The following is a 21,876-nucleotide window of genomic DNA, read 5'->3' as shown; positions in this document are numbered from 1 at the left end:
TGAGTCCCTGCCTTGCCGTAACCCTTCATTTCCCTGAACTGTAGAGAACCGCCTCGTCCAGGGTCAGCTTCCTCCCCAGAGGCAGCGGGCATACAATTACCCATCCATGTTGGGAATATAAACGGCCCGCCCCCTAGCCTGAAAGCGGGACATTTGGAGAGGTCATCCAGAGCTAACCATGGGATCAGCCAAGGCCTCTGTTGCAACAGCCTGTATTGCGAGGTCTACCCAGTTCCTCCCTCTATCCAGCTCTTCTGTCTTCCTTCCCTCCTAGATGCTGATCCCACTGGCACTCCCCAATAAGCCTGCTGCACATAAACCTCCTTCTCAGAGTTTGTTTCTCAAGGAACTTGACCTAAGACCATTAGTTATTTGCACACAGTGAAAGGAGGGTATGGCAATTCACATCTTCCCTCAAAGACTCCTCCACATCAGTGCACTCCCCTCACATTAACGGCACTGAGGGAAGAGGGTTGTATCTGAAGGAGAGGAGAGGAGGGACCAGGGAGCGCTCCCAGAACAGGCCTCGATGGGGTGGCAGAGTAGGGGCCTCTAGGTGGCCAGAGGGTACGGTCTGAGAACGGAGCTCCTGGAGGTGTCCCCACCCATGAGGGACAGGAAAGAAGGGACCCAGGAGGTAAGAAATAGACTAAACCAGGGGTTCTCAATCCTGACTGCACGTTAGATTCACCTGAACATCTCTGAAACATATTATTGCCAGGAGCACCCTGGCTTCACCAAGATTCTGGTTTGATCTGGGGTAGGTCCCAGAATGAGAACACATGGACACAGGAAGGGGAACATCACACACCGGGGACTGTTGTGGGGTGGGGGGAGGGGGGAGGGATAGAATTAGGAGATATACCTAATGCTAAATGATGAGTTAATGGGTGCAGCACACCAACATGGCACATGTATACATGTAACAAACCTGCACATTGTGCACATGTACCCTAAAACTTAAAGTATAAAAAAACAAAACAAAACAAAAAAAAACCTCTTTCCAGGTGATTCCGCTGTGGAGCCAGGCCTGAGGATTGCGTGGCTAACGGGGATGGGCAGGCAGAGAAAGCTAATACCTTCCCTAGAATCTATTCCCTCTGTTACGCAGGTCCTGACTTAACACTGAGGCTCACAGCCTGGGCCCCAGAGTCCGTGCTCACAGAAGGGAGCCCTAGCTCCTGAGCGTTTGAAGGCCAGATGACCCCCTGGCAGCATATGAAGAGAGGGTTGCCCTTTCTAAATAGTGAGCCAGCCACAACCAGGGCAAGCCCAAGGAGCCTCAAGACAGGATCCCCGGGAAGCTTAAACCTGTGGATTCTCTGGGCCCAACCCAAATTTACTAAATCAGAATTTCTAGGGAGAGGCCCGGGAATCTGCACTGTTTAACAAACTCCCCAAGTGAACCTTATGCATGGAAGTTTGAAACTGCTTAGTGCTCCCCGCCAGGGCCTTTCTCAGATGTGCCACATCACTTATATGAAAGCTTTGCTTCCTGTGTAGCCAAGGAGCCCTCGCTGCTCCTGTTTTCCAAAGCACTCAAGTAGAGGTCACTGAAAATTCCTGGATGGACAAATTAGCTGTCAATGAGGATCTGGGAAGATCACGAGAATCCTCTTCAGTAAATTCTTTCTGGTGAGTTTTTTCCTTTTAGCAGGTATGGTAAACATCGCTTGTGAATTGTTCCAAATATATTTTTTCTCATTGTGCAATTGAATTGGCAGTTTTGCATAATAAAAAGTTAACATAATGAGCCAAACAAGAAGTGAATAAAGCTTCATTGTTCGGTTCAGAGGCAGTGCTTGCACTGAGCCCACAGTCCTTATCCTCATGCGTGGCCCATTGTCTAATGATCGTCCCCTCAAAATGTAAGTATGACTCTAAAAATGATAAAAATTGATATTAATAGACTTCTACGGACCTCTGCAGTAGCATCGTCTTATCGAGGAAGCACAAAATGTTTCTTTGCCCACTCATCTTGGCTCTTTGTAATCCTAACTGAGCTTGATTGAAGCCTGACCTTTACAAGGCATCTTTGTGTATTTCTCACACACAGTGGTACTTGGAAGTTTTAACTTCCTCATTCAATTACTTTGTGATGGTGCTGGCATCCATATTAATGAAATTATTTTGATTATATTTCATAGACAATGTGTCAGTGGGCAGTTAGCAACCCCGTACGGAGCCCCAAAGTGGTTCCTCTGCTGGCTCAGACCCATGGCTTCTTCCTTCTTCCCTTTCTGGGGTCCCAGCCTGACTTCCTCTTTTCTTCAGGGTATTCACCTATCTACCTTGTTGGAGTTCCTTTTGTCACCCCCAAAACTGGCTATCAATGGAGACAGTCTCCTCAGGACATCTCTTTCTTTCTGTCCCCCACAATGAGCACAGGCATCCTTTAAATCAGTTTCTTGCCCATCACCACGGGGAACAGATAGAGGAGCCTAGGAGTCTATAGAAAAAGCTGCACTGGTCCAAGCTGGTTCTCCAAGGTCATTTTTTTTTATTTCATTTTATTTTATTATTATTTTACTTTAAGTTTTAGGGTACATGTGCACAATGTGCAGATTTGTTACCTATGTATACATGTGCCATGTTGGTGTACTGCATCCATTAACTCGTCATTTAGCATTAGGTATATCTCCTAATGCTATCCCTCCCCGCTCCCCCCCACCCCACAACAGTCCCCGGAGTGTGATGTTCCCCTTCCTGTGTCCATGTGTTCTCATTGTTCAATTCCCACCTATGAGTGAGAACATGCGGTGTTTGGTTTTTTGTCCTTGCGATAGTTTGCCGAGAATGTTGATTTCCAGTTTCATCCATGTCCCTACAAAGGACATGAACTCATCATTTTTTATGGCTGCATAGTATTCCATGGTGTATATGTGCCACATTTTCTTAATCCAGTCTATCGTTGTTGGACATTTCGGTTGGTTCCAAGTCTTTGCTATTGTGAATAGTGCCGCAATAAACATACGTGTGCATGTGTCTTTATAGCAGCATGATTTATGGTCCTTTGGGTATATACCCAGTAATGGGATGGCTGGGTCAAATGGTATTTCTAGTTCTAGATCCCTGAGGAATCGCCACACTGACTTCCACAATGGTTGAACTAGTTTACAGTCCCACCAACAGTGTAAAAGTGTTCCTATTTCTCCACATCCTCTCCAGCACCTGTTGTTTCCTGACTTTTTAATGATTGCCATTCTAACTGGTGTGAGATGGTATCTCATTGTGGTTTTGATTTGCATTTCTCTGATTGCCAGTGATGATGAGCATTTTTTCATGTGTCTGTTGGCTGCATAAATGTCTTCTTTTGAGAGGTGACTCTTCATATCCTTCACCCACTTTTTGATGGGGTTGTTTTTTTCTTGTAAATTTGTTTGAGTTCATTGTAGATTCTGGATATTAGCCCTTTGTCAGATGAGTAGGTTGCAAAAATTTTTTCCCATTCTGTAGGTTGCCTGTTCACTCTGATGGTGGTTTCTTTTGCTGTGCAGAAGCTCTTTAGTTTAATTAGATCCCATTTGTCAATTTCGGCGTTTGTTGCCATTGCTTTTGGTGTTTTAGACATGAAGTCCTTGCCCATGCCTATGTCCTGAATGGTATTGCCTAGGTTTTCTTCTAGGGTTTTTATGGTTTTAGGTCTAACATGTAAGTCTTTAATCCATCTTGAATTAATTTTTGTATAAGGAGTAAGGAAGGGATCCAGTTTCAGCTTTCTACATATGGCTAGCCAGTTTTCCCAGCACCATTTATTAAATAGGGAATCCTTTCCCCATTGCTTGTTTTTCTCAGGTTTGTCAAAGATCAGATAGTTGTAGATATGCGGCATTATTTCTGAGGGCTCTGTTCTGTTCCATTGATCTATATATCTGTTTTGGTACCAGTACCATGCTGTTTTGGTTACTGTAGCCTTGTAGTATAGTTTGAAGTCAGGTAGCATGAAGCCTCCGGCTTTGTTCTTTTGGCTTAGGATTGACTTAGTGATACAGGCTCTTTTTTGGTTCCATATGAACTTTAAAGTAGTTTTTTCCAATTCTGTGAAGAAAGTCATTGGTAGCTTGATGGGGATGGCATTGAATCTATAAATTACCTTGGGCAGTATGGCCATTTTCACTATATTGATTCTTCCTATCCATGAGCATGGAATGTTCTTCCATTTGTTTGTATCCTCTTTTATTTCATTGAGCAGTGGTTTGTAGTTCTCCTTGAAGAGGTCCTTCATGTCCCTTGTAAGTTGGATTCCTAGGTACTTTATTCTCTTTGAAGCAATTGTGAATGGGAGTTCACTCCTGATTTGGCTCTCTGTTTGTCTGTTATTGGTGTATAAGAATGCTTGTGATTTTTGTACATTGATTTGGTATCCTGAGACTTTGCTGAAGTTGCTTATCAGCTTAAGATTTTGGGCTGAGACAATGGGGTTTTCTAGATATACAATCATGTCATCTGCAAACAGGGACAATTTGAATTCCTCTTTTCCTAATTGAATACCCTTTATTTCTTTCTCCTGCCTGATTGTCCTGGCCAGAACTTCCAACACTATGTTGAACAGGAGTGGTGAGAGAGGGCATCCCTGTCTTGTGCCAGTTTTCAAAGGGAATACTTCCACTTTTTGCCCATTCAGTATGATATTGGCTGTGGGTTTGTCATAAATAGCTCTTATTATTTTGAGATACGTCCCATCAATACCTAGTTTATTGAGAGTTTTTAGCATGAAGTGCTGTTGAATTTTGTCAAAGGCCTTTTCTGCATCTATTGAGATAATCCTGTGGTTTTTGTCTTTGGTTCTGTTCATATGATGGATTACTTTTATTCATTTGCGTATGTTGAACCAGCCTTGCATCCCAGGGATGAAGCCCACTTGATCCTGGTGGATAAGCTTTTTGATGTGCTGCTGGATTCGGTTTGCCAGTATTTTATTGAGGATTTTTGCATCAATGTTCATCAGGGATATTGGTCTACAATTCTCTTTTTTTGTTGTGTCTCTGCCAGGTTTTGGTATCAGGATGATGCTGGCCTCATAAAATGAGTTAGGGAGAATTCCCTCTTTTTCTATTGATTGGAATAGTTTCAGAAGGAATGGTAGCAGCTCCTCTTTGTACATCTGGTAGAATTCGGCTGTGAATCCATCTGGTCCTGGACTTTTTTTGGTTGGTAGGCTATTAATTATTGCCTCAATTTCAGAGCCTGTTATTGGTGTATTCAGGGATTAGACTTCTTCCTGGTTTAGCCTTTGGAGGGTGTATGCATCCGGGAATTTATCCATTTCTTCTAGATTTTCTAGTTTATTTGCATAGAGGTGTTTATAGTATTCTCTGATGGTAGTTTGTATTTCTGTGGGATTGGTGGTGATATCCCCTTTATCATTTTTTATTGCATCTATTTGATTCTTCTCTCTTTTCTTATTAGTCTTGGTAGCAGTCTATCAATTTTGTTGATGTTTTCAAAAAACCAGCTCCTGGATTCACTGATTTTTTGAAGGTTTTTTTGTGTCTCTATCTCCTTTAGTTCTGCTCTGATCTTAGTTATTTCTTGCCTTCTGGTAGCTTTTGAATGTGTTTGCTCTTGCTTCTCCAGTTCTTTTAACTGTGATGTTAGGATGTCACTTTTAGATCTTTCCTGCTTTCTCTTGTGGGCATTTAGTGCTGTAAATTTCCCTCTACACACTGTTTTGAATGTGTCCCAGATATTCTGGTATGTTGTGTCTTTGTTCTCATTGGTTTCAAAGAACATCTTTATTTCTGCCTTCATTTTGTTATGTACCCAGTAATCATTCAGGAGCAGGTTGTTCAGTTTCCATGTAGTTGAGCAGTTTTGAGTGAGTTTCTTAATCCTGAGTTCTAGTTTGTTGCACTGTGGTCTGAGAGACAGTTTGTTATAATTTCTGTTCTTTTACATCTGCTGAGGAGTGCTTTACTTCCAAGTATGCGGTCAATTTTGGAATAGGTGTGGTGTGGTGCTGAAAAGAATGTATATTCTGTTGATTTGGGGTGGAGAGTTCTGTAGATGTCTATTAGGTCTGCTTGGTGCAGAGCTGAGTTCAATTCCTGGATATCCTTGTTAACTTTCTGTCTCGTTGATCTGTCTAATGTTGACAGTGGGGTGTTAAAGTCTCCCATTATTATTGTGTGGGAGTCTAAGTCTCTTTGTAGGTCTCTAAGGACTTGCTTTATGAATCTGGGTGCTCCTGTGTTGGGTGCATGTATATTTAGAATAGTTAGCTCTTCTTGTTGAATTGATCCCTTTACCATTATGTAATGGCCTTCTTTGTCTCTTTTGATCTTTGTTGGTTTAAAGTCTGTTTTATCAGAGACTAGGATTGCAACCCCTGCCTTTTTTTCTTTTCCATTTGCTTGGTAGATCTTCCTCCATCCCTTTATTTTGAGCCTATGTGTGTCTCTGCATGTGAGATGGGTTTCCTGAATACAGCACACTGATGGGTCTTGATTCCTTATCCAATTTGCCAGTCTGTGTCTTTTAATTGGAGCATTTAGTCCATTTACATTTAAAGTTAACATCGTTATGTGTGCATTTGATCTTGTCATTATGATGTTAGCTAGTTATTTTGCTCGTTAGTTGATGCAGTTTCTTCCTAGCCTTGATGGTCTTTACAATTTGGCATGTTTTTGCAGTGGCTGGTACCGGTTGTTCCTTTCCATGTTTAGTGCTTCCTTCAGGAGCTCTTGTAAGGCAGGCCTGGTGGTGACAAAATCTCTCAGCATTTGCTTGTCTGTAAAGTATTTTATTTCTCCTTCACTTTTGAAGCTTAGTTTGGCTGGATATGAAATTCTGGGTTGAAAATTCTTTTCTTTAAGAATGTTGAATATTGGCCCCCACTCTCTTCTGGCTTGTAGAGTTTCTGCTGATCGATCCGCTGTTAGTCTGATGGGCTTCCCTTTGTGGGTAACCCGACCTTTCTCTCTGGCTGCCCTTAACATTTTTTCCTTCATTTCAACTTTGGTGAATCTGACAATTATGTGTCTTGGAGTTGCTCTTCTCGAGAAGTATCTTTGTGGTGTTCTCTGTATTTTCTGAATCTGAATGTTGGCCTGCCTTGCTATATTGGGGAAGTTCTCCTGGATAATATCCTGCAGAGTGTTTTCCAACTTGGTTCCATTCTCCCTGTCACTTTCAGGTACACCAATCCGACGTAGATTTGGTCTTTTCACATAGTCCCATATTTCTTGGAGACTTTGTTCGTTTCTTTTTATTCTTTTTTCTCTAAACTTCCCTTCTCGCTTCATTTCATTCATTTCATCTTCCATCACTGATACCCTTTCTTCCAGTTGATCGCTTCGGCTCCTGAGGCTTCTGCATTCTTCATGTAGTTCTCGAGCTTTGGCTTGCAGCTCCATCAGCTCCTTTAAGCACTTCTCTGCATTGGTTATTCTAGTTATATCTCCAAGGTCATTTCGTTAGAGGGTACCTGGAGGTCTCTCCCATGGGGATGGAAAGCCTTTTCTCAGGTGACTGACTCCAAAATGAGGCTGTCATACTATAGTCCCCATGGATTGGGGTTGGCATGGCCACCAGCCTCTGCTAGAACCTGCTTGCCAATCCTTTGTGCCAATCCTTTGTGCCTGCTTTTTCTTCCAGAAGGTCCACTCACCCCTACATAGGGCACTTTGGCTTTTCTAAGTAAGTGAAATATGTCCCCACCTGTTTACCAAATGCCCCTCCTCTGTCTGCAAGCCGTTCTGCACCAACTCTGAACATTCTGATCTGTACCTGTCCCCATGCCACCCCATCTCACTGATTTATTATCTTTCAGGAAGAAGGAAGGGTTTTTCATAAGGTCTTTGAGTTAGCTAGAGAATGACAGCAGGTAGCTTATTCCAGCTTCCTTACCCCACCCACATGCATTGGTTGACCTAAGCCCTCTTGCCTCAAATTTCTGAGAATTTGTTTATCAGGAGATGCAATCAAAGAAGGGTATGGCGAGAACAATTCATATGCTGCCCTTTCCTACCTACCTTCGTGTTTCTAGTCTCAAGACAGAATCTGGTTCTGGTTCTGGTCCATGCGTCTTCCTTGGGCTGCGGTGACAGTGACCACCCTTACACTATACTTTCATGGATCTGGTGCCCACCAAAGAAGCCTGCCCTGAGAGGCACCAAGATGCAGAAAGGGGCAGAGCCAGCACCCACTCAACCCTGCCCGATGCAAGGCTTCCCGCTTCTCCAGCAAGGACAGGACTTGGGTTCCTCAAGGCCCCCTCCACCATAGCCACCACATGAGAAGGAAGGAAGAGGGGTTCATTTCCTTTCAGTCCGCCCATTGCTAAGGTTTCCACACCAGTAGCGGAGCTAATTTCTTCTGTGCAACAACCTGTGGCAACACCAGAGATGATCCTATTTTGCCAGTCTCTTTTTGTGTCTTCAGACAATGCTTACAGCACACAGACTTACTTGTTTTTGAAACAGAACATTTAAGGAGCAAATAAAAATGAGTTATTTCTCCCGCTCTGGATTTTCTCCTGGTCAGTGTCAGGTCTTACCTCCCTGGCCTTGGTTCTCTCCTTCATCCTTCCCAGAAATGTCCTTGGTTTCGAGCTTAGAAGTCCCAGCCTCCCCCTAACTTGGTTCTCCTAAATCTCCACCAGCCAGATACTCAGTCAAATTTTACTAAAGAATAGCCATCATCTACGGCACACTTACTACGTACCAGGCTCAGTATTCAACATTTTATCTGCCTTTGCTTCTTTCATTCTCACAATGCCCAATGAGTTAGATTCTATTATCATCAACATTTTGGGGGCTGAGGAAACAGACTTGGAGTTAAGTAATGTGTCCAAAATTCCACAATAAGGAAGTGGTGGGACCAGGACAGTTTGATTGAAAGCTTGAGTGTTTATAATGCTTCTCTTAAAGATAATATTATATTTATCACCTATTGCTCTGAATCTAGGAGCATGGCAAGACCTGTGTTTCCCAGAGGCCCTGTGTGTCCACAAGAATCATCCTTCTAGAGGTCAAATGACTGATGCCCCCTCCCTCCAGTGCTTTCCTCTTGGGCCTTCCCTGCCAGTTCCAGATTCTAGTCTGAGGACTCCCTCTAACTGTAGTTCATTCACCTAGGTCAAATAATTATTATAGCCCAAGAGAAATTAATGGTCTCCTGCTTCAACACTCGAGTAATTCACTTGGTTTACCAACTGCCTAAATTCCACACAAATTTATTGAGCACCTACTAGGTGCCGCATATCTGATAGGAGTTGGAAATAGAGAGGGTACATGATTGGTTTCCTGTAAGGGTCTCATGAACCAGTTGGGAAATGATCAAGTATACCATAGCCTAAGTGAGAGAATAGTATAGTATAGTATGGAGAGGTGAGGGTAGCTGTAAGATTAGGGAAATCTCCGTAGTGGATAGGAACCCAAGCTTTGGAGCCAGGTTGGACTGGGTTCAAATCTGAGTGATTATGGGCAAGTTATTTAACCTTTCAGTGTCACAGTCCTTGTGTATAAAATGGGAACAATGATGCCTCTCTTGTAGGGTTATGAGGAGTAGTACTCCAGAAAGAAGTTATAGTTATAGTGGCAATTGCTAATATTTACCTAACATATTTGCTCCTGGTAAGTAGAAAGATTAGCAATAATATTTGAATTGGGATTTGAAAGATGAGTTAGGGTTTGATTGGGCAGAGGAGAGGTGATAAGAAATTATAGATATAAAAGTATCACATTTGAAGTCATAGAAACATGGAAGTGTATAGTATGTCTCAGGATTATCAAGTACTCTGGTGGCTAGAGCATGGGCACATGGCATAGGGGAGAAGAAGAAATGATAGCTACATGGCATGAGAACTCACAGCCTTCACCGAGGTTTTGGAGTTCATTCTCTATCCGCCAGTGCCCCATCTTCCCACCCTAGGGAAGTGACACCATTTTATAATGTAAAAATACTCTAAAGATGGGAAAAAAGACCACATATGCTGCTGGCTGGGCTATACGCTGGAGCAGTCTTTCGGAAGAATATTTAGTAATAGGAATCAAAATCCTTTATAGTGCTCATAGCTCTTGAACTATTCATTTCGCTTTTCGGAATTTATCATAAGAAATTCACTGGAAGCATTTGGAACAATTTGTATGCCAGGATTTGTAATGGTCAAAGGTAAGAAATAATCTAAATGTCCAAAACCACAGGATTGGCTAATATTCTATTTATTCTATTCTATTATGTATTGGTTAATATTACATTCAAGCATTGGAATAGTATACAGTCATTAAGAATCATAGTTTTACAGAGGATATAATGACATAATGTTCATGATCTAATTTAAAATGAAGAAAAGTAGGCTGCAAAACAATATATAGTTTAAGCTCAATCTTGTGATTGGGGGGAAAGGAAAGGATGTATGTGGGAGAGAGAGAAGGAACAAGAGAGAAATAGGGTGATCCTATTGAGAATAAGTTTAGATTAAGGACTTGATATTCTTTGTTTTAAGTTATGGTTGAATTTATTTATTTTCTTTAATTCTTAATCTTTATTTTTATTGAGACAGGGTCTTGCTATGTTGCCCAGGCTGGTCTCAAACTTGTGGGTTTAAGTGATCCTCCTGCCTTAGCCACCCAAGGAGCTGGGATAATAGGCATCCCTCACCACTCCCAGCTGAGACTTGGTATTCTAAACACTTGCTTTGGGGGCATATATTTGCTCAAGTGATTTGCATGGGAGAGGGACACTGAGAAGCTATTTGGGAGTGGAAGAACTAGGGCTAGAGACAATAGAGAGAGGTCAATCAAGAGTTCATAACCCTAGGGAGGACAGAGCTCCCTTAGAGAAGGTATAGTGTCCCCCAGAGACCACAATGCCTAATGGAATGCAGAAGATGTTCGGTGGACAACCAGCAGACACTCTCGGGGCTTCCCAGAGATTCCCAGGGGGAGACGTTGCATCAGCTGGGAAAGGGCTCCAAGCCAGTGCATTCAGAACGTGAGCACTGAGTCGACATCTCTTGCAAGCACTTGTAGGCGCCAGTGACTGAAATGTCTGCATTATGTGTGGCTGTGTCTAGAAAAAGGAAGACGAAAAATAATCATTATCTCTGAGTATAAGATTATGGTTATTTTTTAACTTTTAAATAATTTTTCAAAAGTTTCTGTGATGAGTATTTTGTTTATTGTATTTTATTTTTTGAGACAATCTTGCTCTGTCACCCAGGCTGGAGTATAGTGGTGTGATCTCAGCTCACTGCAGCCTCTGCCTCCCAGATTCAAGCTAGTCTCCTGCCCCAGCCTCCTGAGTAGCTGGGATTACAGGCATGCACCACCACACCTGGCTAATTTTTGTATTTTTAGTAGAGACGGGGTTTCACCATGTTGCCCAGGCTGGTCTTGAACACCTGACTTCAAGTGATCCACTCGCTTTAGCCTCTCAAACTGCTGGGATTACAGGCGTGAGCTACTGCACCCAGCCTGTGATGAGTATTTTATAATAAGGAACATCACTCATTTTTAAACCATCTCTGGCTTCCTTATGTTCCTCTTGCCTCCACGCCTCCTGCTGCCCCACCACGCACACACACTCTGTGTTCTCATCTATGCATAAGAATGGAAACTCTGGCTTTTGCTGGGGTTCTGTCCCCCAGGGCACAAGAAGGAACCGGGGTGTAATAGGCCTGGGCTTGACTTGGTAGTTTGTAATCTGCCTAGCTGGCAGCCATGGCACAGCAAACTCAAGCTGGGTGACCTCCAGGCACTTCATACTTTTCGGCATTAATAAAAATCACTGCACTTTGTTGACTTTGCTATTTCCACCCACAGGGGAATGTACAAATACATGAAATGTACATGAAATCTGCTAAATGATCCATTTAACCATGTGGTAAACACTCTGTATACCTGTTTCCCCTGCCAAAACAGTCCCCTTTGTGATATTTTACAGGGTCATTTGATTTAATTCCCTAAGTCAACACAGGGTTTGTTTTCTTATAAAGGAAAAGAGGATAAGGCTTTTCAAAATTAACTGACTCAGGACAGTTTACCTTGAGGGTAAACCAAAGGACATTATGAGAAAGGGTGCAAAGGAGCTTCTGGGTTCTGGTAATGGTGTTTCTTAATCTGGATGCCGGTAACTTGGGTTTCCTTTGTGAACATTTATCAAGCTGTACACAGGATTTGCACATTCTTACCAGTCTCACCACAGCCTCCTCCTCGACCCTCTCCTCCTGGCTGGCTCCCCACATCCTTCACTCCCCAGGAGGGCGTCTCATGACTCCTCAGTGGAGGCACTGCCTACTTTTTCCTGTTTGGGTGTCTCCTAGAACCTGCAAATCCCCTTCATAGCACTAATTGCAAGAGAAATAATCTGGCTGCTTTTGTGGTTATTGGTTTCATGTGTGTCTCTCACTAGATTCTAAGTCCACTGGGCTTGTGTGTCCGCTGGACCTGCTGCTGTGTTCCCTGAGCCTGGTGCAGTGCCTGGCAACATGGCATGAGAAACAGTTTGTAAGAGAATGTTGGAGAGGCAGAGAGGGAGACAGAACAGTGGGGTTGGGGGAAGAAGACAGAAAGGAGAAGGGGAAGGAAGGAGAGAGGAAGAGTTATGTCTCTCAAGATCTGGGTATTCTGAGGCATGGCTACAGGTTGGTGAGTGGGAGCACTCAGGAGTGTGTTGACATGATTGAGTAAGGAGTCTCTGGAGAAAGAAGTCTCTCTCAGAGAAGGTGGTCTCCCTGTGGGCAAGATTGGTTCAAGGACTGTAGCCTAGGTTCATAAGGGGAGGACGGGGACCCTGAGCCTAGTCTGGCTCCAGTTTTCTTCTGGCTCGAAGTGATTGCAAAAAAAGAGCTATTTCTTTGCATTTCTTTAGGACACTGAGCACTAAATGTCAGCGGCATGAGTGCAGGAGCCAGTCACATCAGGGGCAGTCATGGCGTGGCAGAGGAAGTGCAGGTATGGCCACAGCACAATGGCAATGACGGCATTTCCTACACCCACAGTTGGCACTCGAAGAACAGCCCTCACAGGCCAGGCTTGGACAGCCATAGCAGGATCAGTGTATTTGGTAGACACAGGTAGTGGCAGGGGAGGCCCCAGTGGGGCTCCGTGACACAGAAGCCATCACATACAGTGAAGGAGATCGAGACTCAGAGGGAGAGGAGGGCTGTGGTGGGTCCCATGCATGCCGCAAAGGACTGCATCTCAGGGCAGCTATGCAGTGCTCAGCAGGGAATGCCAGAAAGGCATTGGAAGCATTTAAGGGGCATGCCACACGGCCTTCAGAGTTGGAGCAAGTCCAGCTAAGAACTTACTGTTAGGTGTTGCCCAGTTTATAGCCTTCGGCTGGAATTCTCTGGAAAAAACAAATCACTGAGAATTGGCTTCTAAAGAGCACCTATAAATGGGAGGAAGAACACCAAAGAATCAAAGATGCCAGAAAAGAAAACAGCCCCTGGGATTTGTGCACAGGTGTTCTTGACAGGGTCCCTCACCTAAGCCATTCTTCCGGCACAATTATCACCCAGAGCGGCTTGTTTCTTGGCACCTAGAACACTCCATCGGGAGCTGTTTCCCTTTTTAACTCAGTACTCCCAAAGACTGCTCTGGGGATAACAGCTCCCACTCTTAGGGGGAAAAATATATTTTTAGAGATGGGAGATGACAAAACCATCATCAATAAGCAAGAAAACTCCCAATTAATTTTCTTGAGACACTGTCTTGTGATATATCCTTGTGGGTAGGGCTTTCTGAAGCATTTTCTCACCATTTTTTTCTGAAACTATGGCTTTCCAACATTTTTCATTGCATGCTCTATTAGTAAAATCATTTTGAACATGCACCACAGATATCTGCGTATTTATTCACTGATGATGTTTATGCAATAGTGTGTGTGTGTGTATTGTTTACTGTATTTATAGTGAAATTTCTAATAGAAGGTGTCCGCTGGGATGCAGGAATCCCACTAAACAAACACAAGGCAGACAGGGTAAGCATCATAATCCTCAGCTCACGGATTAATAGACTAAGATGGGAAGGGACTTGCCCAGGTCACACAGCCAAAAGTTGCAAAACTGGGGTTAAAACTCATATCCATACTTTCCAGCTTCTCAGATTCTTCATTCATGTGCCAAATATCCCTTTCTACTCATCAGAATTTGGGAATGGACCAGTCATAACAGTTTTTGGTGATTTCCACATTGTTTCCCTGTTTTACCTATTTTATCATTATTGCCTATAGCATAGGGTGTGCCATGCGATCAGGGTTCTGGAACTGGCTTCTAAAGAGCACTTATGAATGGGGATGAAGAACATCAAGGAATTAAAGATGCCAGAAAAGCAAATAGCCCCTTGGATTTGAGAACAGGAAACATGCACTTTACACGCCTCATCTCTTTCTGCCCCATCCAGCAAGCAGGGATGATGCAGAGACCTTCCCTGGGTCTCGCCATGCCCAGGAGTTAATGTGTTCTACAATGTATTTGTAGAAAGAAGATACTGCGTCTAGTAGAAAGAGATGTGATATGATTGACGTGGAGTGGCCACTCTTGATGCAGGAGACATGGCAATTGTACTTTCCTGTATGAGAATGAGGCCTGAAGGAAGGTTGCTTCCCTCAGTCTTTTCTCAGCAGAGGGGTTTTGTAAAACAAACCAAAACAAAACACAAATTCCCTGAAGCAGAATAAAGATAAAGAAACTTAAATATCTGGAAACAATGAAAACTGCAAGAGCCAAGAAACGGGCAGCTTAGGGGCCCCAGGAAGTGAGGTGGGATAAGGCAGAGATAGGCTTGGGGCGGAGAATCTGGAAGCTGTTGCTGTTTACATTCAATGTCCTCTCTCTCTCCAAGAGGTGGCAGGCCACTGCCCAATGCTGAAGTCACTGTTTAACGAAGGTGGAGCCTGCCTTTACCTGGTACACCCATATAAGGAAAAGCCTGAGGTCAGGAGTAAGCAGACACCAGCACTGCTCTTTCTCCAAGACGGCCGGCCATGCTCTCCTCCTCTGCCAGTCTCCTCCACCACTCTCTAACCTGAGAGCCTGTGGAACCTGCCCGTCTCCCCTCCTCCATCAGACACACCTGCCTAGGAAACAGGTAAGTTGTGCGTGGTCATGTCCCAGAGCTGTGGACCAAGGCAGTCCTCTAAACATTAGTGAGCATGTACAATTTTCTAGAGAGCTTCATGATGTCGCTTCTGAGTTCCCACCTCCCAAGGTACATATTCAGTAGCTCTGGAAGCTGGGTTTTTTTGATGCAGGTGGTCCAAGGATATGCTTTAAGAAAAACTAGGGCAAAGTGGGAGTTAATTTTCTAAGAGAATCTAATCCAAACTTTGCATATTTCATGCAAAGAGAGTATTTCTTAATCATTCTGTCACCTTCGATTTCTGATCATTCTAAGTTGTGACCTTGAGGGCTGTGTTCACCGTAAGGGACACATTGATGGCAGAAATCATGTCTTCTTTGTGCACTGATGTGTAGTTTCTGTTAGATAGTAGGTGCTTAATAAACATTTGCTAAAGGGAAGAATGGGACCTGGGCCCTTTGTTTTCTAATCATCTAGCTTATTAGTTATAGGAATGAAGTTGACAACTCTGGGTTAATCACAAAAGACAGATCATTACAACTTCAGAGATTCAGGAGGTTCCTATATGCCTCTAGTGGTGTCATGGTCACACACATGTGTCTCTGTAACTGCTAAAGTTATGTAATCTTTGAGATGTGATGCTGTTCTCAGGGAGACAGTTCCAGCTGCTCAGCTTGGACCCAAGTTAACCAGATTAGAATAAGTGCAGATATTTTCCCTCTATAGTTACAGTTGGGTCATGAACTACTGACTGTCCCATTTGTCCTGGGTCACAAACACAACTTTGGTTACCCCCGAGTGGCATTAACTAGACTTTCAATCAGATTATCCTCTTGAATTGTCTCACCTTTGTACCCACCTTGACATAAGTATTGTGGGTTTTTGTTGTTGTTGTTGTTGTTGTTGTTATTTTGAAGGTTGGAGGAGTGACAGCTGTAGGGAGGCTTACTTATTAGTAGATTGGTTGATGGAAATGTAATAATCTACCAACTGTGTAATAGGCAAAAGCTATATATAGCATGAGTTCATTATCCCATTTTGTAGATGGAAAAAGTGAGGGACCGGTGAGTGACTTGCTGCAAAAGTTTATACCAGATGCAAATGACAGAGCTGGAGTTCTGCTGTGCCTGGTAGGTACCCTGTCTTGTCCCCTAGTTATTTGGTTGTATTCAGTTACCCTCTTGAAAGAACACCTTAGAAGAAAAGATGCTATGAAGAAATGCACACATTAAGCCAAGCACTGTGGCTCACACCTGTAATCTCAACACTTTGGGAGGCCGAGGTGGACAGATTGCTTGATCCCAGGAGTTCAAGACCAGCCTGGGCAACATGGTGAAACCCTGTCTCTACAAAAATAAATTAAAAATTGGGGGTCTGGGAAAAAATATTAGCTACATGTGGTGGTGCACACCTGTAGTCCCAGCTATTGGAGGCAGGGGGAGGGGTCCATGGTTGAGGTGAAAGGATTGCTTGAGCCCAGGAGGTTGAGGCTTCAGTGAGCTATGATCATGCCACTGCACTCCAGCCTGAGTGACAGAGCAAGACCCTGTCTCAAAAAAAAAAGACCAACCTACTGGCCCTGAGGCTCACTCCGTATCAAGCATTGTGCTTGATGCTTCCATATGGTGAGCTGTGTGATTTGGGGCATGCTCCTTAACCTCTTGGGGGTCCCAGTTTCCTCATCACTAAGACATGGTAGCAACAGTAATCTACCCCAAAAGATCAGTGAAAGGATCAAATGAGATCCTATATGGAAAGCACTTAGCAGTACTTGAGCACATGGCAAGTGCTGAAGATATTTTAGTCATTATTGTTGACATTATTTTAGCCTGGGTTCTCTATAAAACAAAGCCTGAGGCAAAGCTTAAGTGCTACTTAGCACTTAAGGTAAGACACCAGGGGAGTGAGAGTCAGGGAAGTGGGAAATGGGAAGAGAAAAAGGGGAAGCAGTGAGGGATGATGTGCCACCACCTGGCCTCTCTTCACAAAGAGACATGACCAGCCACTTGGCCAAAGCAGGGCCCCTCTGGACTGGCGTTGCAGATGCATTGTGCCTTGGAAGAGTCTATCCGAGCAAGGGTAGAGAGGACATTTATATGTTGGCTCACTCTGTCTCCTCTCTTATTGTTCAAAGCTTGCCCTATGGGGAGTTAACTGTCCTGCACTTCCAGCTTGTGTCTTCTGACCCCTGTGGCAGCCACTGGGAAAACTAGATCTAATTGCTAGAGGCTTGGCACCTCATCTGAGTCCAGAAGTGGTCAGAAGAGCCACTTCCTTGGCTGGAGTAAAAAAGGGACCAAGAGTCCTAGAGACAGGTTGAGGCTAAGAGAACCTGAGATGGCACCTAAGAAAGGTTTAATAAAGACTGAATTATCATTAATATCTGCTGAACACTGCGTACAGCACTAATGTTCCTGCCTAGATGTCACCTCTTTCTCCCATGAGAAAACCATAAAGGGGACTTTGGATAGGCTGGTCCATTCCATCTCTCCTCAAGGTTTGGAAGAAGTCAGGTTGAGGGCATCCTAACTCTCTCAGAACGTCCATGGTGGAGCATGCCACTGATAGACAGCAAGGAAGTCCACGGCCATGCAAAAGATGGGAGCAGAATCAAGAGGAGGTGTTGATTTTCTACCACCCTTGGGACTCTATCTTTTGGTCAAGTGTTTCCTAAAGCATGGTATACATAGAACACTAATTTTGGGGGCTGTTGCTGGGGGCTCCTTGATATAAAGCATTTATGATCAAATATTTGGATGAATGTTGCCTCCTACTCTTCCCTCCTCAGAGAGTTATGATTCCAATTTACTTAAAAAGGCTCTGTTCACGCCTGTAATCCCAGCACTTTGGGAGGCCGAGGTGGGCGGATTGCCTGAGGTCAGGAGTTCGAGGCCAGTCTGGCCAACATGGTGAAACTCTGTCTCTACTAAAAATACAAAAAAATTAGACAGGCATGGTAGCATGCACCTGTAATCCCAGCTACTTGGGAGGCTGAGGCAGGGGAATTGCATGAAGCAGGGAGGTGGAGGTTGCAGTGAGCCGAGGTTGCGCCACTGCACTCCAGCCTTGCTGACAGAGTGAGACTCTGTCTCAAAACAAACAAACAGAACAGGCTCTGAGAAAGCCAAAACAAAGGAACCAGTTGAACTGAGTGCACCAGAGCCTCCCATACTGAACTCCAGTTGGACCTGTGTTCATGGGCTCAGTCTCTTTTGTCTTGATTCCTGAATTCTCAGGGCACTCTCCTCCACTATGCACTACTTTTTGCTTTGCACAAACCCTGTTGAATAAAAAACTCTGCAGTATAAGGGAAGGCTGTGGGGGTGCATGAGAAGCTTTTACCAATCTGCAGAGCTCATTCTCCCGGGAAACAACCAGGAAAGCTCAGCCAAGCCTTAAGCCTGTTTCCTTGTCTCAATAATAGAGAGGTGAACAAGGCAATCCCCAAGGAGTCTCCCAGCCTCTTGTAATCCATGATACTCATGTTGAAAGGCAGCTAAAGGTCACCTCATCTATCTCTTGTGTTGCCTCAGAGACAAACTATTTAGTGAATAAAGAGATCCAAATTGTTAATACATGTTGTAGGGTTATGAAGTGGAGATTTGCCCACTGCCGCCCTCTCTGGTGAGTTCAACATGAGATGGGACGTGTACCATGTCCCACGGTAGTGGCTGGGGTGACGAGCTGCCTCTAAGGACTTGGGCTGGAGGACAGCCAGGACTCTGGGGTTAACATCCTCACTTCGGCCAAGTAAGTCCCAAGGGACCTTTAAAATTGGGAGCAGCCAGGAGGTTTGTTTCCTTTCCCTCTGAAAGAATGGTCCCTCTGGCAGCACTCTGCCCTCTGATCTCCACTGGTCAGCCCTGCCATGTCCACCTCCCATGCCTGTGGACCAGGTCTGACCAGCACCTCCCACACAGTTCAGAGGACTGAACAAGACCCTGTCCCAGCCTGCAGACCAGAGACACAGAGGGGCGCTGTCTCCCATCACAGCCACACACTGCCTTCGGGAGATGCACCCAGTGGCCCACTAGAGACCACTGGTTCTCAAAGGTCTGAAGCCAGAGAGGTGATGGAGAGATGACAGGAATCTTTGCCCCTGTTCTTCTCGCCAAACATTCTCTTTTCTCCCCACTCTAATCCTTAACCAGACGTGGCAGCCAACCAGCTGAACTACATATACCATTAAGCCCCACCTCAGAAAACTCTAGCTTTCTGCAGGAACTTAAGATACAGTCGGATGGCATGGCCCTGGGGGAGATGAGGGCAGAGGCTTTCTGCAGGGGCTGGCTCCTGGGACTCCAGCCAGCAGACCACCAGATGCACGTTCCGTCAACCCAGGGGCTGTCCTGAGCCAGTGCTGCCATCCCCTCAGACCTGTCCTCAAGCCTTCTTCCTCAGCCAGGTCACCTGCCCTAGGTGGGCGTGGGGATTCCCCACAGCTCCCTGCCTGTTCTGGAACATAGGCCAGACAGCAAGAGGGGTGGAGGTCTCCTGGGACTGCATCTACCTCTCTTTTCAGGCAGAGGCTCCCAGGCCTGTACCCCCTGCCCCAGGTCCTGTCCTTCCCACCATCTCCCCAGTGGACCCTGCAAGAGCTGGTTTTTAGGCCATTTCTGCTCCTCTCTCTTTCCTCTGTCTTTCCTTCTTGCCCTCAGTCCTTGCTTTCAGAAGCTCTGGCTCTCCCCGTTTCTTAGGGCTGGAGAGGGAAAGAATGACAGAAGGAACAAGGGAAACCTCAGAGGTCTAACCACCACCCCCCCCCCCCAGCCTGCCTTTCTCTGCTTCACTCACTCACTTAGACACGTTTACATTCACATTTACACACACACACACACACACACACATACACACACACACATTCTAAGCTCCTTCTTTTTCATGTTGCTTTTTGACATATTTAATATAGAAAGCTCTTGTTTTTGAAAAACATTTCTCCTCCCACTGGTCCATATCCTGACCCCAGAGATGGGACCCCATCTGCTTGGATGGAAGCTTGCTCCAGAACAAGAAGGTTGACCTGGGCCTTCCTGGGGACCTTCATCGTGTGTCTCCGAGCACCTGGTCAGAAAAGGGAATGGCTCCCTTAGTCAACGTGCTTGGCCACTGGTACTACTGGATTTGTCTCCAAACCCCCGCCACCCCCCAACCAGAGCTCCCAGTCCAGGGCTCAGCCTACTCGCCTCTGCAGCCTCCACAGGTCAGGCCTGAGAGACCCAGAATGGCCAGGCACAGACTGGGATGCCCAGGTAACCGGGCCAGGGGTCCATCAGCCGGCTCTACTGTCCTTTCTCCGCTGTGTTGTGGCTAGACGCAGCGCAGGGGGCGGTGGTCTTTAAAAAGCTCCATCTGAGAGTCACATCATCTGCATTCCTTGTTTTCCAGCCATGCCTTGAGAATTCACATCTTGAGGGATAAGAAAACAGGGTAATATTTGGACACAATTCTGGCACCGTCAATGCTGGGCTGGCGTGAGAATCCCTTCCCCTGGTGGACTTTGTCCTCCCTGCGTCTGGGCCATCTCATTCCTCCCACTCTCTTCCTCAGTCTCCATCCCTGCTGACTGGCTGTCCCTGGCTCCCTTTCTGTCGCCCAGCCAGTCTTTGACTTTCTCTTTGTGTGGTTGCTCTGTCTTGGCCTCTGCCTCATCCATTTTTCCATTTTCTTTTTCTTCTTCTTCTTCTTTTTTTTTTTTTTTTTTTTTTTAAGACTGAGTCTCCCTCTATCACCCAGGCTGGAGTGCAATGGCATGATCTTGGCTCACTGCAACCTCCGCCTCCCGGGTTCAAGCGATTCTCCAGCCTCAGCCTCCTGAGTAGCTGGGATTACAGGTGCACACCACCACGCCCAGCTAGTTTTTGTATTGTTAGGGTTTCACCATGTTGGGCAGGCTGGTCTCAAACTCCTGACCTCGTGATCCACCCGCCTCACCCTCCCAAAGTGCTGGGATTACAATCATGAGCCACCGTGCCCAGTACTCATCCATTTTCTGTTTGTCTTTGTCCATTTAAATGAAAAAGCCTAAGAAGATAGGCCCAGGGAAATCCTTTAAGAATAAACGGATTATATAAATGTGGCCTCAACTTCCAAAGAGCCTTAAAAATAAGAAAGGAAAAAGACCCCAAACCTAGCCTTCTGCGGTTCAAGCCTTTGGGAAGTGAGCAGGCCCGGAGCCGAGGGTCTGCCTGGGGAGTACTCGTCTGAAACAGCGGCTCTCAAGACCCTGCATTTTAACTTGGTACATGGCAGGCCCCAACTTCCTAAGTCTACTAAATTTGTATTTGTTTCAGAAAAAATTTGAATTAGCTAAATGAGAAGTGCATCTCTCCTTCAAGGATGAAAAAAGAAAAAAACCATGCTGGGAAATCTGAGCACAGATTAAATATTACACAGTGTTTCTGAGACTCATGTAGTTTTAGTTCCCAGAAAAAAGAATGCTCTACCTCATCCTTAGAATATAGTTGAGTCTACTCAACCCTATCATAATTGAATGACACCTATCAAATGCTCTAGGGAGGGGAAAGGAGATTTCCATGCAAAGACAAGTTTCTTTTTTGTGTGTATTGGCACAAACCTAAACTTAATTGAAAGAAATAATACATTCTGTGGGTTCCTATTTTATTGTCTAACAGTATCATTGAGGCTACATAAGAACCTGTTGTCTCAGTTCCAGAAATACAGAATCTTACAGTAGAAAAGCACTTAGAAGTGCGAGACCAACCTCCTTAGTGTTCCAAGTGGGGAGACCGAGGCTAGGGGAGGGAGCGACGTGCCCAAGGCCCATAGAGTTTAGTGGAGCTTCACAGATTCTTTCTGTCAGGCAAACCTTCTCTTGGTTACCCCCAGG

At 44.9% G+C, this 21,876-nt stretch overlaps 1 protein-coding gene and 1 long non-coding RNA gene across 10 annotated transcripts in view; both read left to right on the top strand.

The window, feature by feature from the left end:
• Positions 1-13,144, top strand: part of LOC124905982 (uncharacterized) — a 69,911-nt gene extending 56,767 nt beyond the window's left edge. Inside the window, exon 4 of the long non-coding RNA XR_007086268.1 lies at positions 12,814-13,144. This is a non-coding gene — a long non-coding RNA (uncharacterized LOC124905982). The remainder of the gene's footprint in view (positions 1-12,813) is intronic.
• A 1,749-nt stretch (positions 13,145-14,893) lies between these two features.
• CAPN13 (calpain 13) overlaps positions 14,894-21,876 on the top strand; it is an 84,676-nt gene continuing 77,693 nt past the window's right edge. For 8 of the 9 annotated variants that reach the window (XR_939741.4, XR_939742.3, NM_144575.3 and 5 more), the window contains exon 1: positions 14,894-15,038. The gene's annotated coding sequence lies outside the window, so the exon portion shown is untranslated. Of the gene's footprint in view, positions 15,039-16,073; positions 16,160-21,876 lie in introns of all 9 variants that reach the window. The other variant, XM_011533160.3, reaches the window with a different exon arrangement.

Source organism: Homo sapiens, chromosome 2 (genome assembly GCF_000001405.40).
Source record: "Homo sapiens chromosome 2, GRCh38.p14 Primary Assembly".
Classification (NCBI taxonomy): domain Eukaryota; kingdom Metazoa; phylum Chordata; class Mammalia; order Primates; family Hominidae; genus Homo; species Homo sapiens.
Note: the sequence above shows the minus strand (reverse complement) of the source record. Positions and strands in the feature narration are given on the sequence as shown.